The 18,832-nt window shown below is 39.5% G+C and overlaps 1 long non-coding RNA gene and 1 other non-coding gene across 2 annotated transcripts in view; one reads left to right on the top strand and one right to left on the bottom strand.

Annotated features, from left to right (window-relative positions):
• Window positions 1-646: 646 nt before the first annotated feature.
• MIR3148 (microRNA 3148) lies at window positions 647-723 on the top strand. The gene has a single exon (NR_036104.1). It is a non-coding gene; the product is annotated as a microRNA 3148 (primary transcript).
• Window positions 724-4,385: 3,662 nt separating this feature from the next.
• LINC02209 (long intergenic non-protein coding RNA 2209) overlaps window positions 4,386-18,832 on the bottom strand; it is a 32,097-nt gene continuing 17,650 nt past the window's right edge. The window contains 1 exon segment of the long non-coding RNA NR_024473.1: window positions 4,386-5,805. This is a non-coding gene — a long non-coding RNA (long intergenic non-protein coding RNA 2209).

Below are 18,832 nucleotides of genomic sequence, written 5' to 3'. Positions count from 1 at the left end.
CATAGAGAAAGTAGACAATATCAGCTGTGAACACTTTCAACTCCTGTCTCCCATGCACATGCTTCTCTCCTACTTTTTGGTTTGAGAGGATGGGAAGTCATTTCTTCTGTTTGCTCCTTCTTTGTAAAATTTCCTTTCCTTTCCTTCATATCTTAATTAATCAATTATTCACAATGTTGAGTCCACTGAGGACCAGTAAGCAGCCTTCTGTCTTTTCCACCTCAGTGCTGCACAATTCAGGAAGTGAATCAAAGAATAAAGACAGAGGCCACAGCAATATTATGGATAGAGCTGAGTTGGAGGATGTGGCTTGGTGTCTCTGTCAAATGGACCTGAGATCTGAACCCCAGGACTGGTCAGTTCTCAGCAGTGCTGTATGGTAGCCTTTACAGGTCAAAATTACATCATGGAGGAGCAGAGGCAAATTTGTGCCTTCTGTGGGCAGGTTCACTTCTGATAGGGCAAAGGGAAGACTTGAGCCAAGATTGCCATTTTCTTCCTAAATTTGCCAATCAAATAAGATAGAGTAAGCAATGTTAATTGAAGTCTTCCCACAGGAAGGCAATGTGTGGAATGGAGAAGGCTGCTTCAGCAACATCCTCTCCCATGCACCTTAAACGTCTCTTTCTTTCTCAGCTCCTTTCTGGAGTTAAGATGGAAAAAACTGGTGTGTGCTTATTGATGTAGCCAACAAGCATACATCAGTTTTTTCCAACTTAACTCCAGTATTTTCCCCAATTCATCCTGAAATTGCTGCCCTATCCATTCTCCCTCCTACACAGCCAAGATTCTTAAAAAACCAATCCAAATTTGCAGAATCTCCTCACTCATTTCTAACACATTTCTCAAGGGTTTTGACTTCAAAACTCAAGTAGAGTTTTGACTTCTACTCTCACCAGTGCATAGCAGTTGCCTTGGCAGGGGCCCCCAGTGACTTCCTGCTCATCAAAGCCAATGGACCTCTGGTGGTTTTAAGTTGAACTAACTTCTCTTTAATATTTAACCCTCCTGTACACTTCATTCCTCCAGAAAGGATCACTTATTTCCAGGCTTCATCGTTGATTCCTCTTGCCATGTTCACTATCAATGCTTTCCAGGACTCCTCTCAAATTTGATTAGTTTTATTCTGTTTACTCTTGGGTGAATTTTTTTTTCTTTGAGCTTTAACTGTCACCTCTTGCTAGTCACTCCTGAATATTCAGCTGGAGTCCAGACCTTTGTCTTGAATTCTAGATCCACATGGTACATTGCACAATCTGGCAATGCCAACCTTTCCACTCTCATATTTTCTACCTGTCTCCCCTTTACACACCCTGACCTAGCTATACTTTCCTGCATTATTCTTTGATCATTCTAAGCTTATTCTTACCCCAGGGACTTTGCACTTACTGTTACTTCTGCCTGGAATGCTCTTCCCCTAGAGGTGTACAAAGCTCATTTCTTTCATGTCTCTGCTTAAGTATCACAGCTTCAGAGAGTTCTTCACTCACCACTCCCACCTCTGTTTACATTTTATCGTAGAATTTATCACTATTCAAGTGTGTGCGTGAAGTGGGTGTGGTGTGTGAGCACACATATATGTGCTGATCCTAAAATAATTAAGTTCCTCAAGGGCAAGAACTTTGAATTATTCACTGGCATATCCCTAGTACCTATAATATGGATGCTAATGACACTTGTTTAATGGGTAAATGTTTGCTTGAAATTTGTCTTTATGACTCATCGTCTCTCACTAACTCCTACAAAGTGGTTTGTTACTAACATCCCTGTTTATGAATTTAATCTCAAATTTCTCTATTTAGTTTTCTCCTAAGTAACAATTTCAACAATTGAGGCTGGAATTTTATTTTCTTATAAGATTAGCTCAGAAAGCTAAATAAAACGCTTTGGGTTTTCTCATCAGAAAAAAGAAAGCTCAGGTGCACCGAGACTGGCCCCACAGTGTTTGCAATCGCTGTCATGATTGGGTTTCTGCAAGCTGGCCCCATGGGACAACTTCATCTTTCCTTTTCTGCCTGACGTCTTGCAATTGGGATTCCCGCTAGTACTGCCCTAAATCCTGGCAAGAAGACCTCTTGCTTTGAGCCCTATGCTTTAGAGAGCTCCACTCTCATCCTTCTTTGTTCCTTTCCCTCCCCATTAAGCAAGAAGTCCTTGGGATAAGAGAATAAAACCATCTGGACCCCATATATCTTCCTTCTGGAACACATTCCTGATACATGAGACCTCAGAATTCTCTGCCCAAATGGTCACAATTAAACTTCCAAGGCTTGTGGCCCTCTTTCTGAGGTCTTTCCTCTCTAGAGTGAAGTATGCTGACTGTGTGTGCCCACTTGAGCCAAGTGATGGTCAAATCATTACTGTTTCAAGGACCACGGGTGAAGCTTTAACTTACGTTCTTGGTTGTACACTGGACTGCTTGTGGTAGGAACTGGAGGTGGGAAGAGACCATTTTTCAGTAGATTTCTGGAAGTCTAAGGATTCTGAATTTGGGTATATTTGTGGAAGTAGCAATGTTTTAACTAGTGATGCTAGCTTGATATATAACTCATACATTGGATGTATAATCTATGTGGGCCTCCATTTGTACTCTTGGCCAAGGCAATGCTGATATTAGGGGTGAGCCTGGTTCCACAACTGTCTTCATAGAACTGCTGCCTTAGACTTATGTCTGTGTGGATGCACTGATTCTAGATGAGGTGTTTGCACTTTTTTTTTTTTTTAAAAAGACCTGAGTTTTTACATAACCAAAATCTTACCTGGAAACCCAGCATATAAATATAGATATAAAATGAATATATAAATATAAAGATGTTAAATAAGTATATAAATATAGATGTAAAAGGACTCTGGCTAACCACAGGAATGAAAGGCTCAGGGCTCTGTTGGCTCAGGGACTCCCCACTTTCGTCTCCTCCCTCCCTTTCTTGAGTAGCCTTGAGGCACAGCCATGGAACTCCAGGACTTCACGGGCAGACACAGTTCAAAAATTAGGGCTTTGATCAGCTTCTCACATTGGCATTTAGTGCACTTATGTTCCATGGAATGTCCTTGGAATAGTGCTATTTAAACAAGCTTGGCAGAAGCAGGGCACTCTTAGACCCCATCAGCAATCTCCACGTCCCGCAAAGTGAAATTCCTGCAGAAGAGAGACTGGTTTACCTTGTATAACCCAGAGTTTCTCTAGCATATCTTACCATGCAATTCTCTGCTCACAGAAGTCCTTTTAATAACTTGGTGAAATGTTATCTAAGACAATCCCCTAATGTGAAACAGAGCTACATTCCCATAAAATCTAGTCACTTATTTTTTCCCCTATAAAAGTTTAATGAGTAATTATAAATGATTAATATAAAATTTAGATTTAAAGGGATATAGCCCTTTAGAAATATTGTGATAAATCTCTCTGTACATTAAAACTATTTATTTTCACTACCTTAATTTTGTATTATGTATTTTAATGCTGTATTTAAAAATGTCTTTCAGCCAGGAATAGTGGCTCATTTCTGTAAACTCAGTGCTTTGGGAGGCTGAGGTGGGAGGGTCACTTGAGGCCAAGAGTTCAAGACCTGTCTGGGCAACATAGCGAGACCCCTTCTCTACAAAAAAATAAAAAAAAAATTACCCAGATGTGGTGGCATGTACCTGTAGTCCCAGCTACTTGGGATGCTGAGATGGGAGGGTCACTTGAGCCCAGAAGTTTGAAGTTACAGTGAGCAATGATTGTGCTACTGCAATCCAGCCTGAGAAACAGAGTGAGAGTCTGTCTGTTAAAGGTTTTTTTTGCTCTGTGGAGAAATGTCTAGCTTTCACTCATTTATTAAAAAATTCCGTAAGCCCTATTCACAGCTCCTGGCTTATTCTTGTAACTACCTCTGTAACTGGAATTCTATGTCTTTGCTGCAAATTCTGATCATAATAGCAAAAGATTTATTATGTTCTGATAATCTCAGGCTGCCAGAGTTCCTGGATATTGTTTGGATGTATGAGAACTAATTTTCCATTTAAATAGCTACTGTCTGCCATCTTCAACTTGGTGTTCAGCTGGAAGATAGAGACTAAACACTATATTAAGTCCACACAGTGTTTAGATTGGAAGTGGGATGGGTGGTCCTTCCCTACTGTCTCTTTCAGATTAGAAGACTCTTAGTCACTGCCTTCTTGTCATACCTGTATTGATATTCTTCATTAATTTCATGTAATACTTATATCAGACACAATGGGATATTTAGCTTCCAGCTCTTCTCAGATGCTAATGGTAACTTCAGTATTTGATTTTTCATCTGACCTATGTTTTTTGCACAGGAGGCCATGAAATAAAAAGCTTTTATTTCCTTTTCAGCTTTAAAAGGGTTACAGACAGATCAAGAAAAAAGTACAGTTTCTTTTGCTTGCTTTTAATAAGTTCTCAGAATATGACAAGATGCTGCGGATCATCAGTTCCTTCCTGCAGATGCCTCTGACCCTTACTATGCCCTCTAACATCCCACCCTGGGCTTCTCTGCCATTGCAGTCTGGGTGCCAGGTGCCTGGAAACCCACCAGGGCTCACATATGCATAAGCTGGAAGGCACTGGGGGTGTTAACACTTGGGGCATGACCTTTGATCAATGGGTTTTGGAAACTGGTGAATAAATGTTTCTTCCTCTATTCACAGTTCTAAAACATATTTCATATGGCTTGTCAAATAGTCCTTCAGGACTGAGAAGCCAATTACCCACAGTGGAGGCCAACTTGCCAATGCCCATTTCTAGGGACCCTTCCTCCTTGCTCACTTGCTGACACTGTCATTCACATCCTCTCCTTGGAATCATGTATCTCAGGAAAACAATCACACGTAAGTCTTTGCCTCAAGCTCTGCTTTCAGGGACACCCAAGCTAAGATAGTAATTAAGTTATAGCTATGTTTACTATATTTTACAAATGTGGGTTAAAAAAGTGAACCATCATTTTATGATTCTGAATGTGTTTATGAAATAAGTTTAGAGAGGTATGAGCATTGAATCACATTTACTTATACATTTAATAATTCTCCTAAGGCTGGGCACAGTGGCTCAACTGAGGCCAGGAGTTCAAGATCAGCTTGGGCATCATAGCAAGAACCTATCTCTACAAAAAATAAATATAAATAAATACATTAACTGGGCATGGTTGGATTGATAGAGCCCAGGCATTCGAGACCAGCCTGGGCAATATGGCAAGACCCTGTCTTTCTTATATTCAAGAAATAAAAATAATTCTTTTATAAGTGGGATAGTCTCAAAACTTTATCCATTAATTCTTCCTTCCATCTCTATTTGTTTATTTATTTTTTTAGAGTTGGGGTCTTGCCCTGTTGCTCAGAGTGCAATGGTGCTATCATGGCTCTCTGCGGTCTCAACTTCCTGGGCTTAAGCAATCCTTCCACCTTAGCCACCTCAGCCTATAAGCATGCACCACCATGCTCAGGTGATTTATTTTTATTTTTAGTTTTTGTAGAGATAGGTTTTTGCTGTGTTGCCCAAACTGATCTTGAACTCTTAGCCTCAAGCAATCTTCCTGCCTTGGGCTCCTAGCTTCCTGCTGGGATTACAGTCATAAGCCAGCATGCCTGGCCTCCATCCCTCATCTTTAAGACCATTCTGAAGATCCAGAAGGTGGAAGCTGCTTGCTGGTGATGTGAAGGACATTCATTTGATGAAACTCAAAAATATGAGTGACCATAGCATAAGAATCCTGGTCCTAGACTCATTGGGTACCATCATAGACATTCTCTCTGGACGTTTGCTTTCCTGCTCCACAATATATGTTGATGCTCTCTACCGACCTGCATAAATTACAGACAGATATATATCAACATTTATTCCCTTGGCTAGCATTTTATTTTTTATATACTACAGAAATAACAAAGAGGACAAAAAAATAAATAATGAAGTCAGGGTGAAGGAAAAGTGAGGGTAAAAAAAATAATACCCATATACATGTCATAGGCTCTGTGTAATGACTTCAAGAGCATTACAACTGGATGTGTGCTTCCTGCTAGCCAAAACAAAGGCAAAAATTAGTACAGTAGTATCCATAAAATAAAAATTTACCTGCTTCCTAGGAGATTCAGAGCTTGTCTTATACCCAGATCTGAGAAGAGTTTCTTAGGAGGTTCCACAGAGAGGTATTATATGCCTGGCCGATTAACACTCTCCATGACATCCCTGCTGCACAGGCAAAGAGGATGTCATAGGCCTGTTTCTTTTTGCATCCCTCAGTGTTGCTTAGGCAACTCCCTGATGGTCTCATTGACTGAGTAAGGGATGGACAGCTCCCCCTATCCTCCCCCTTTTTTTTTTGAGATGGAGTCTCACTCTGTCGCCCAGGCTGGAGTGCAGTGGCGTGATCTCGGCTCACTGCAAGTTCCGCCTCCTGGGTTCACGCCATTCTCCCGCCTCAGCCTCCCAAGTAGCTGGGACTACAGGCGCCCACCACCACGCCTGGCTAATTTTTGTATTTTGAGTAGAGACGGGGTTTCACTGTGTTAATCAGGATGGTCTCGATCTCCTGACCTCACGATCTGCCCACCTCGGCCTCCCAAAGTGCTGGGATTACAGGCGTGAGCCACCGCACCCGGCCGGACAGCTCCCCTTTTTAAAATTTTTTGTAAAAATGGGATCTCACTATGTTTCTCTGGCTGGTCTCAAACTCCTGGTCTCAAGCGATCCTCCTGCCTTGGCCTCCCAAAGCACTGGGGTTACAGGTGTGAGCCACCATGCCCAGCAAAGAGCTCCTTTTTGAGGCAATATTCCACAAATGTTATTTCTTCCTTGTGGACTTTTGATGAGAATTGGGCTAGCCTGGAATATGCCCTGGGACTACACTCTAAGTATAAGTAGGCACAATATCAATTAGATATGTATCTCCTCGTGTGATAAAAACTTAAACTCTATAGTGCTGTTTCAGGTTTTTGGGTGAAAAAATTATAGTAATTTGGTCAACAAGGAGACGGGACCACATTATCTGGACAGCAGAGTCCTTTCTTCCTTTTGTCAAAAGGAGTAAAGGCCACACTTCTATTAACACGTTGATTAGTTTGCTTTGCATTTAGTTGAACATTATTTCTTTTTCTTTGTATTTTTTGTAGAGATAGGGGTCTCACTCTGTTGCCCAGGCTGGTCTTGAATTTCGAGGCTCAAGCAATCTTCCCACCTCGTCCTTCCAAAGTGCTGAGATTTCAAGTGTGAGCTGCTGCGGCAGGCCAGTTGAATATTTATGTCTCTGTCTTGGTGACAGTTAATGTGGGGATCTGAGCTGTCAAATGCTGTCACTACTGAAAACATTTCCTAACTCTTTTCAGGGCCCTGGGCTGTTTGCTTGGGGGATTCTTCCTGAAACCCTGGGCCAATAGAAATCTGTGTTTTCAGACTCTGCTGTGAAGTGGAACCTCTAGGAATGGGTGCGACTCAAAGAGCATAAAGATGTGCGTTGTTTCTTGGGTTGGTAGTGATTTCCATGCCATCAAGAGTGTCACAATCATTTCTCACAGTCTCTGTGTGACACTCTTGATGACACGGAAATGAAATTACTATAATTTGTTCACACAAAAACCTGAAACAGCACTATAGAGTTTAAGGTTTTATCACATGAGGAGATGCATATTTAACTGATATTGTTTCTAGTAAGACTTAAGGTGTATTCCCAGGGCATACTCCAGGCTAGCCCAATTCTCATCAAAAGTCCACAAGGAAGAAATAACATTTGTGGAATATTGCCTCAAAAAGGAGCTGTTTGCTGGGCATGGTGGCTCACACCTGTAGCCCCAGTGCTTTGGGAGGCCAAGGCAGGAGGATCGCTTGAGATCAGGAGTTTGAGACCAGCCAGGGCAACATAGCAAGATCCCATTTCTACAAAACATTTTAAAAAGAGGAGCTGTCCATCCCTTGCTCAGTCAATGAGACCATCAGGGAGTTGCCTAAGCAACACTGAGGGATGCGAAAAGAAAAAGGCCTATGCCATCCTCTGCCTGTGCAGCAGGGATGTCATGGAGGGTGTTAATTGGCTAGGCATATAATACCTCTCTGTGGAACCTCCTAAGAAACACTTCTCAGATTTGGGTATAAGGCAAGCTCTGAATCTCCTGGGAAGCAGGTAAATTTTTATTTCATGGATACTGTGACTACTATACTAATTTTTGCCTTTGTTTTGGCTGGCAGGAAGCACACATCCAGTTGTAATGCTCTTGTAGTCATTACACAGAGCCTATGACATGTATTTGGGTATTATTTTTTTTACCCTCACTTTTCCTTTGCCCTGACTGACAGTGTCAATTGTCTGTCCTGTTTTATGATAAATAAGCTGACAGATATGTATGTGAAGGAAGAGTTCTGCAGTGAAACTTCTCACTGAGGAATTTTTAAAACTGATTTTTAAGTAACAAATAATTGTGTATGTTTATGGGACACAATGGGATGTTTTGATCTATTGTGCATTACAGAAAGATTCAGTCAAGCTAATTAATATAGCCATCACCTCACCAATTTGTGATTTTTTTTTGTGGTGGGAATGTTAAAAATCTATTGTGGCAATTGGAAATATACCATACATTATTGTTAACTGTGGTCAACATTCAGTGCAATAGATCACTAAAACATTCCATTGAGGATTAAAACAATTTTTTTCCAAGATGGCTCTTTTCTTGACTTTGATCTATGGTTTTAAACCTTTCAAAACTGACTCTAATTTCAAATTTTCTGTAAGGCTTTCTCTGACCTCTTCTGATTGAGTACAAATTTTCTTCCTCCAGGCTCCAGTGGAGCTTTATGCAAACCTTTATTTTAGAATTTATTATAGTTACCTGCTGTCATTCAATACTTGAGGTCAGAGACCAATCCTTTTCCATCTCTGTAAGCCTGTTGTCTTGCACAATATTTGAAAATGGGCCTTATAGAGTTCTTTAATGTGACCTGCCTATAGTGATCAATTTATTCTGGAACTTTTCTTTTCTTGTAAGGGATTACCTTATATATAAGATCCTATTGTAGAAACCAACAGTTATCTTTTGATAGACAATGAAAACCCCATTTGACCTTCCTTAATCTTCTAAGAAACCAAGAAATTTTCTGCTCATATGAGAACCATACAGCAAAAGTAATGAAGTCATGTGTTTGTAATGGGATAGATGATTCCATATTGCTCTTGTCTTTCCCGAATGATACCTTAAAAGCCGATATTAAAAGGATGTAAGTATTGTGTTTCCAAATAGCATTGCATTATTGTGCAGGATCATTGTGTTGACAGTTGGAAACTCATGAAAAGCTACAGTCACTGCAAAGTAGCCCCTCAGCTCTGCAGAAGCTAAATGGACCTTACCATAGGGTGTATTCCAGCTATCAAGTGGCCTATGCCAAGCAGTAAAGATGCCGTCTGTTGACAAGTAAAGCCATCGACCCTAAGTCTTTGCTCTGGAGTAGCTGTGTCCATCTTCTTCCTCTACTAACCTCTGCTTAACTGAGCTGTATCATAGATACAGCTTCCACTACTAACTGATAACACAGGACTATCACCACCTGAGAGTTAACAGTAGGCTCAGAGGGGAGAATGATTATGATCTTTCATGTATCCTAAAACACCCTCCATGACATGAAACTTAAAGTATTAAATTTTATTAAAACTTAAAGTATAATTAAAAAAAAGAAAAGATGCTCAATGATTATTTGAATAAATTTTTGGTGAGTAAATACAGATTAATGCCTCAGTTTTTCCTTCTGTGAAATGCTTTTATTAACTTTTTTGAAGGATAAAATAAAAATAGAAATATCTGCACAGAATCTAGAATAGCTAAAACAATTTCGAAAAGAATAAAGTGGGAGGAATCACTTTACCTGATTTGAACATGTTAAATATCTACTCTAGATCAAGGCAGTGTGATATTGACAAAGAGACAGACACATAGATCAATGGAACAGAATAGAGAATCCAGAATCAGACCCACACAAGTATGCCCAAGTAATTTTTAAATTAAAAAATTTCAGTTTTACTAAAAACACAACATAAAATGGGTCATCTTAACTATGTTTAAGTGCACAGTTTGCTAGTGTTAAGTACATTCATGTCGTTGTGCAACAGATTTCTAGAACCTCTTCTGCCCAGCTAGTTTTTGGCAAAGAGGCAAAAAGCAATTCAATGCAGGAAAGACAGTCTTTTTAATAAATGGAACTATAGCAATTGGACATCTATAGGCAAAAAAAAAAAAAAAAAAAAAGAACTAGACCTAAACCTTACACTTTACACAAACATTAACTCAAAATGGAACATGGACTTAGACATAAAATGCAAAACTATACAACTTTTAGGAAAAAAAGGCCCCAGGGGTTGGTGAGGAGTTCATAGACTTGACACTAATAATATGATCCAGAAAAAGAAAAATTGGTAAATTGGACATCGTTAGAATTGAAAACTTTGCTCTGTGGAAGACCCTGTGAGGGGGACAAAGAGACAAGCTAGTGGATAGGAGGAAATATTTGCAAACCACATATCTCATAAAGTACTAGTATCTAGATTAATAAAGACTCTCAAAAGTCAGCAGTGAAATAACACACAATCCAATTAGAAAATGGGCAAAAGGTGTGAACAGACATTTCACAGATGAGGCTGTACAGATGGTAAACAAGCACATGAAAAAGATGATCGTTAGCCATTAGGAAATGCAAATCAAAACCACAAAAATATATCAGTACATACCTATTACAATGGCAAAATAAGAAGTAGTGACAACACCAAATGCTGATGAAGATACAGAGAAACTGGATCACTCATACATTGCAGGTTGGCATGTAAACTGGCCAGCCACTCTGGGAAAGCACATGGCAGTTTCTTTAAAAACTAAACATGCTTTTACCATATGATCCAGCAATTGCACTTTTGGGCATTTATCTCAGAGAGATGAAAACTGTGTTCACACACAGACATGTACACGAATGCTCATAGCAGCTTTACTTGTAATAGTTAAAAACTGGAAATGCAATGGCTCAGGCCTGTAATCCCAGCACTTTGGGAGGCTGAGGCAGGAGGATTGCTTGAGCTCAGGAGTTTGAGACCAGCCTGGACAACACAATGATACCTTGTCTCTACAAAAAATACAAAAATTAGCCAGGCATGGTGGTGCACATCTGTGTTCCCAGCTACTCCAGAGGCTGAGGTGGGAGGATTGCTTGAGCCCGGGATGTTGAGGCTGCAGTGAGCTGTGGTCATGTCACTCTATCCTGGTTGACAAAGTGAGACTCCATCTCCAAAAAAAAAAAAAACCCAAAACAAAAAACTGGAAACAACCCAAATGTCCATAAATGGGCTAATGATTAAACAAATGGTGGTATGTCCATACCATAGAATAACACTTAGCAATAAAAGGAATAAACTACTGAAATACTTAACAACTTGAATGTATTTCAGGGGAATTATGTGAGTGAAAAAAGCCAGTCTCAAATGTTAAATACAGTTTGAGTCCATTCATATACTGTCTTAAAATGACAAAATTATAGACATAGGAAGCAGATTAGTGGTTTCTGGGGGTTAGGGAGAGGAGAAGGAGGGAGGTGGTTGTGACTACAAAGTGGTGGCAGGAGAGATTCATGTGAATCTTGACTGTGATGGTGGTTCCTGAACCTGAACATGTAATAACATTTAATGGAACTAAGTAATACACATATGCACACAGAGACATATACCACTTGAATGAGTGCATATAAAATTGGTGAGATCTGAATAAAGTAGGTGGATAATAGCAATGTCGATTTCCTGGTTTTGATGTTGTATTATATTTATAAAAGATGTAACCAGTGGAGGAAACTGAGGAAAGGGGAGATGAAATCCTTCTGTATCATTTTTTTAACAATTGCATCAAAATTTGCAATTATCTCAAAATAAAAGGTGAAAAAAATATTGGCCTAGGATGCAAAGTCCTCTGCTACAAATAAAATTTAGTGTAATCCCATTTTAGCTGGGGCCTAATAATAATCAACCGTGTTTCAGAGTTGCAGTGTTTGAGAAGATTAAGGAATTCACAGTCTAGCTGGGAGGAAATCTGCAGCTTCTAGAGCTGCACTGTCCAATAGACATTTCTGTGATGATGAAAATGTTCTCTATCTGTGGTGTCTAATACTGTAGCCACCTGTGCTGTCCAGTGCTATGGCCACCATCAATGTATGTGGGTCGTGAACACTTGACGTGTGGTTAATGTGACTTAGAAACTGAATTTTCAATTTTATTTAATTTAAAATAATGAACATTTAAATTTATGTAACACATGTGGCTGGTGCTACCATATGGAATGGTGTCATTTTAAAGAAGCAGTGGGTTCAGAAAGTGGGAAGGAGCTTTTTGAACATTGGTAGCTGAAAGGAGTCGACGCAAACCATGTTTTCTCATTGAAGGGGAAGTTTAGAACAGGAGAAAACTTTTGGTTAGAATTTTGGAAGTTACTAAGTCAAGTGACTTACAAAAAACAAGACTTGGAGAGTGTGTGTGGTGGCTCATGCCTTGTAATCCCAGTGCTTTGGGAAGCTGAGGCAGGAGAATCGCTTTGGCCCAGGAGTTCGAGGCTGCAGTGAGCTATAATTGTGCCAGTGCATTCCAACCTGGATGCCAGAGTGAGATCCTGTCTCTAAAAACAAACACTCCCACCCCTAATAGACTTGCAAGGGAGAGGTGAACCCAAGAGATATGACTTTTCCTGTGACCTAGGGTAATAATGGCTTTGCACTGGGATTGGTGAGCATAATAGTGGACTCTGAAGGAGAACTACACCAGACCACATCAACATCTTGTATAATATGGTTGGTGCAAAAGCGGTTGCGGTTTTTGCCATTAAAAGCAATGACAAAGACCACAAACATTTTTGTACCAACATAATAAATCATACTGGTCCAAGCTGAATGGCATGTAACTCTGAATCCCCCAACTGGTATAGCATATGTGTCCTGCGGCCCTTTACTCTTACCAGTGTCAGAAGTATGGAGCATAGAAAGGCTGTGGCCTGTGGCCCCAGTTGCTAATGGCTCTGACTGTACCCATGAGAGTTGGGGCCTCTCTCTGGGCCTCAATAGAGGATTGGACTTTTGGTACTTTCCGACTCTCAGGTTTTGTTTGCTTGTTTATCTATTTTAGCATGCATACTTCATTCAATTCAGCACATCTGAGGATATTCTATTGACAGAGCGCTTCCATGGGCAAAGTGCCACAGAATGACTGTGACCTTTAGATGCAGAGACTCTTCTCCCATCTCAAAAACTGAAAGTGGAATGCTATGCAAATAGCAAGAAATCAGATGAGAAGTCTGTTTGGTATATGATCCGTACTGTGATACTATGAATGCAATATTTGTTTAATTAAAAAAATTATAAGAAAACCCAGACTTAATCCAGGGATGATTTACTCTAAAAGACAAATTTTTCCTAGAGTGCTTTGGAGGGTCTTAGCTTAACAGAGAAGTGTGATTGCTTATTAGATAGTTTGCATATGGGGGCATATTTATTTATTTATTTATTTTTGCTAAGAAGCTCTGCTCTATCCCTCTGAATGCCTGCAGCACAGCTCTAAACAAGATATTCCCTCAGGGTCTCTTGCATTGACAGAACTAGGAAACATCTTATAATTTCTTCTGGCTTCTGGAGTGACATTTCTAGGATTAGTATTCAAAGGAGAATGCTTGCAAAAGAGAATGCATGCATAGACTTCTTTTTCTTAGGGAGCTCAGAGAACTTAATTGTCACTTTTCTGTGAGTCTCACAAGTGGTGCTGAGGCTTCTCTCTCCCTATTGTGTACTAAAGGCCCCGATCCCCTAGATAGACCTGTTGAACGTCCCTCTGCTTTCTCTACTAATTAGATCTCCTCTCTTGAGTTCAAAGTCTCACATTTACAAATAGAATGGTGTGCAGATGGAGAAGACAGAACTCTTTGAAGGAATTAAGTCCTGGAGGTCCCCAAGGAAACGTTGGTGAGATAGCTGTTGGCTGTTATTCAGGAGTTAGCAGACTTCATTTGGAAAGTTTCATGGCCAAAAATCCTTACTTGATGTGTGGCTGCAAGCATGGTACCTGTAAACACAGACCAGGGAACGAATGGATTTCACATGTACTACTCGATTTGTGTTTACCTTTTCTACAGGTGAGCTTGGACCACCTCAAGAGCAGAGTACTGGGGTGGCTGAGGGGCTTGGCATAGCTGGCTTCACATTCGTGTAATATCATGTATATTACACGATGTCATTTAGAATTTAAAATTTTATTTTAGCTTCTGGCCAAACAACTGTTAGTCAAATTCTTATCCACAAACATGTATGCCTTTAAGTAAAAGAAATTAACTATGAAGATTAATGTGGGACTTAGCCGGGTTTTTTAATGAGGAGCATGGTACCTAAACCTGTGTCCCAATCAGCTGAGACAGCTGCTGCTGCTGCTTTGTCATTTTTGCTCTTGGACTTTCTTGGACTTTGAAGTCTCTCTTGGTTTGAAGATTAAAGAGAGAGAGAGAGAGAGTGTGTGTGTGTGTGTAGTGTTTTGGGGAAAGGTAGAGGAGAATAAGAGGAAACCACTTTGGGTTTTTCTCTCTGGGTTTGCTGGCTTGTGTCTCCTGATTTATTAATTTCTTCAGACCAATTTCCTTTTTGGCCACTATATTATGTCTTCTCAGCAATGAATCTTTCCATGATATGGGGAAGATAGCAGTGGGATGAAGGAATCCAGTTATTTTAATGGTGCAGACACCTTTTTAAAGATTTGACTTGCTTTCATTAAGTCATTTTAGAGGTGATGAAGAAAGTGTAGATTATTGCTTAAGATACTCTCAACTTGTGTCCTAAAAATGAATTTTATGCTGAAATGGACAGCAGTGATGTGCCATTAAGAATTATAGATGGTAACATTGAAAAAAAAACAGTAGAAAATATGCATATTTCTACTGGTTATTCTTTTCAATGTTACCATCATGCATTCTTTATTGTGTCACTAGAATAAAGCCGAGTGATTGCAGGGATCATGTATCGAGCTGTTAATTTTCATTGCCTTTGACCTTCATTAATTACCTGTTTCAGAAATGAATTTTCTCATGTCCATTCTTAATCCTACAGAGAATTGTAGATGAAGTTTTAGGAAAATTTGCTCAGTTGTTTGGGAGATATCCAAATGCAAAAACAGAAAAAGTATTTGTCAGCTATTCAAAAAATTATTCAGATCTTCTGTTGTACTCAGAAACCTTGAAAATAGATCAATTTACATATGACATTTATTATAGTTATTTATAGCTTGATTTACAAAATATGCTCAGCATGCAAACTTGCTGGGTGCATACTGAAAGAAAGAATACTTAAAGGCATTTTAAGCTAAAGATAAAGTTTAAGCTGAACTCATGCACATGTTGGTGGAATGTGCATGTTTTTGAATGGGATATGTTTTGTCTATAAAAAAGATAAATGAATATGCCTTTATTAAAGTAAATGATTACAGGTTGAAGCCTTCAAATGAAGGCTTTTATCTTTAATTCTATTATTTATCTCTTTAAATTCTAGTTTAGATTGAGTAATACCAGGCACTGTAGGAAATGTAAGATATAAGACATGATTTCTTTTAGGTTCTTGCAGTTTAATTAGGGAGATATAAATAGCATGTGTGAAAACATTGCTGTATACGAGGCAGCGTGTAATCAGGAGGTGCATTGTGAGGTATGGGTTGTAATTACCAGTGAACTTTAGAAAAGGAAGAGAAGAATGTGGATTGGAATAATCAGACGGAAGAGCTGGTATACCGGTTGTGTCAACTTGAGTGATTTAAAATTCAAGCTTTCTAGATTCATTTGGCCCTCGAATGAATGAATGAATGAATGACCAATCCCTTCTTTTCTTTGGTTGGATCTCCTTCTAGAACTCTTTTTCATTTTATCCTTTCTGTTTCTTAACCTCTTCCTGATAGTTTCATCTGTTTTTGTCTCTTTGAGATTCAATTGAGCAATTTCCTCAGATCTAGCTTTTTGTACACCAAATCTCTCTTTTCCTATGTTGACCTTGCTCTTTGATGCATTTGCTGAATTTTATAATTTCGATGGCTATACCTATTTTTTATTCTTAGAAATTTTACTTATTTTCTTATTTTCTTATTTTTTTTTTTTGAGATGGAGTCTCGCTCTGTTGCCCAGGCTGGAGTGTAGTGGTGCCATCTCAGCTCACTGCAACCTCTGCCTCCCTGGTTCAAGCGATTCTCCTGCCTCAGCCTCCCAAGTAGCTGGGATTATAGGCGCCTGCCACGAGGGCTGGCTAACTTTTTGTATTTTTAGTAAAGACGGGGTTTCACCATCTTGGCCAGGCTGGTCTTAAACTCCTGACCTCGTGATCTACCTGCCTTGGCCTCCCAAAGTGCTGGGATTACAGGCGTGAGCCACAGAGCCCGGCCCACTTATTTCCAATGTATCTTCCTTCTCAGCTTTTTCTTTCCTGATTTTAATTTTTAAACAGTGTATTACTCTGAAGTTTTTTTTCCGTATCTTCTTTTATGTCCTTAATCATTTTAAACATAATTATTTTATGGTTTAACTTGAATTGTTTAATTATCTGAATTTACTGAAGATTAACTCTGCAGTTTATTGTGCCTTGGGTGGACAGATTCCTGGTATGCTTATAAACTATTACTTGTGATTTACAGTTATCGAGCTCCAAGTTCATCTTCCTTGGCACTTTATTCATGGGACTTCTATGTGGCTTGTATTGGGGCATAGCCAATACAGGGTTGCTTTGCATTCATATTCCAAGGTATTAACAACCTGGGACAAAATTTTATGTTGGTTTCTTTTTTTTTTCTTTGTTTTTGAGACGGAGTTTCACTCTGTCGCCCAGGCTGGAGTGCAGTGATGCGATCTCGGCTCACTGCAACCTCCACCTCCCGGGTTCAAGCAAGTCTCTCACCTCAGCCTCCCGAGCAGCTAGGATCACAGGCGTCTACCACCACGCCCGGCTAATTTTTGTATTTTTTTAGTGGAGACAGGGTTTCACCATGTTGGCCAGGCTGGGCTCGAACTCCTGACCTCAGGTGATCTGCTTGCCTCAGCCTTCCAATGTGCTGAGATTACAGGCATGAGCTACCACGCCTGACCTATGGTGGTTTCTTAGATTGAGAGTTAGTACATTACATGGCAGCCCAGACCCAGATACATGAGCTCCTAGGGCAGACTGTTTTTTCTACCCAAGGCTAGGCCTGAGACAGACAACTTTTTTTTTTTTAAAGTCTGCCTGGGCTGATGGTTGGTTTTTTCCCCCCTTTTTTCACCTTTTTATAAGGGTGGATTTTAAAGGATCCTAGCTTTACACAGAGGCCCGAATTCTAATCCCCATGTGGACAAAAAACCAAATCCCCAGGGTATCAATAACAAGGCCCATCCCCCTTCCCTGCCTTGGGAAGTGACGTTAGCTTGAAGGCTTTTTGGTTTTCAGCTCTTTTTTGTATCTGGAATTTGAGAATTTTATTTTCTTGCACATTCACCTATACTTTTAAAGAATGGCTTTTATATTTTATCCAGGATCTTTAGATTATATTGTAGAAGAATTCATTTCTTACTATTCTCCCCAGGAGGAGTTTTTTTAAACCTTCTTTCCCTGTTGCACTTCAGGTCTGCAACGATCCTTTACTTTCCAAAATTATCAATGAATCACTCTTTTGGGGGCATCTTTCTGTGTGCCTAATCCAAGTACAGATCTCTTTTATTTGGAAAAAGTTTTCACTTGACTCTCTGCCTTTTCTTCTTTCTGACCTAATTCTTTTCTGCCATTCACAATCGAAGCCATTGATAGTGTTCTAATAATACATTGCTCACTGTATTGTCTGATGATCAGCTCATTTCTGAATGTCTTATGACTTTCCTCTCTAGCACTCACCCAAAACCATTCTCTCCACTGTCACCAATGACAATGTATGCTATATCCAAAAGGCTTTTCTCCTCCCCCAGATCTCATATATTACTTTGCTTCTCTGAGGCTTCTGTGTTGATTGTCTCCTATTTTAAGTCTTATTTCTCTGATGCTTATGATGTAAGACTCTTCTAATTCTCCTCTGGTTCTCCTTCTACTGATGTAGGTCTACTCTCCTCCGACTTCTTCCTTAAATTCTTTTCTTTTCCTCATCCGTTAAATAGGAGTGTCGTTTCTCTTCTTGATCTTATGTTCTTCTTTCTCTATGTTGTCTTTACTTCTATATCACTTTTTTTTTAACAGATGATTCACAAATCTCTATCTTGCATCTCTTGAGCTAAAATCCCTGTTTTTCAGTTGTCTCTCATATACTTTATCCTGGATGTCCTGTTGGTGTGTCAAAATTGTTGGATTTCATACCAAACTCATGCTTTTCTTTTCCAAAATAGCTCATTCTTCTGATTTACTTAATTCTGTCTGTGTTATGACTACTCTTCTCATGGGCTTAAAAGTGATCAGAGAACTCTTTCGTTTTTGTTAAATTTTTCTTTCCAATTTATCTCTGATTTGTCCCTTATTTTCCAATTTTATTGTTTCTCTCTCTGTTTGAACCATGGGCACATTATTTGTCTGGTTTATCTAGCCACAGGTTCGCTTTTCTATAACCCATCCCACCCATCGTCTTTAGATTAGCCTATGTAATTCACCAATGGCCCCATCATTACCTGGCTCAAAAACCTTAAATGATTACCAAATAATAGCAGTATTAATGCCAAATCCCTAACCTGATGGTAGCACAATCCTGGAGAATTTAGTGCCGTTGTTCGAGGTCTGACTTTTTTGCTCTATGACTAATTTGTTTTGTGAACAGCGTGAAATCACAAGTTACCAGGAAATAGTTCTTTTTGCTCTAAAATGAAG

The sequence above is a fragment of the Homo sapiens genome, chromosome 8, assembly GCF_000001405.40.
Source record: "Homo sapiens chromosome 8, GRCh38.p14 Primary Assembly".
NCBI classification, from domain to species: Eukaryota; Metazoa; Chordata; class Mammalia; order Primates; family Hominidae; genus Homo; species Homo sapiens.
The sequence above is the reverse complement of the archived record's forward strand: the minus strand, read 5'-3'. Positions and strand labels throughout refer to the sequence as shown.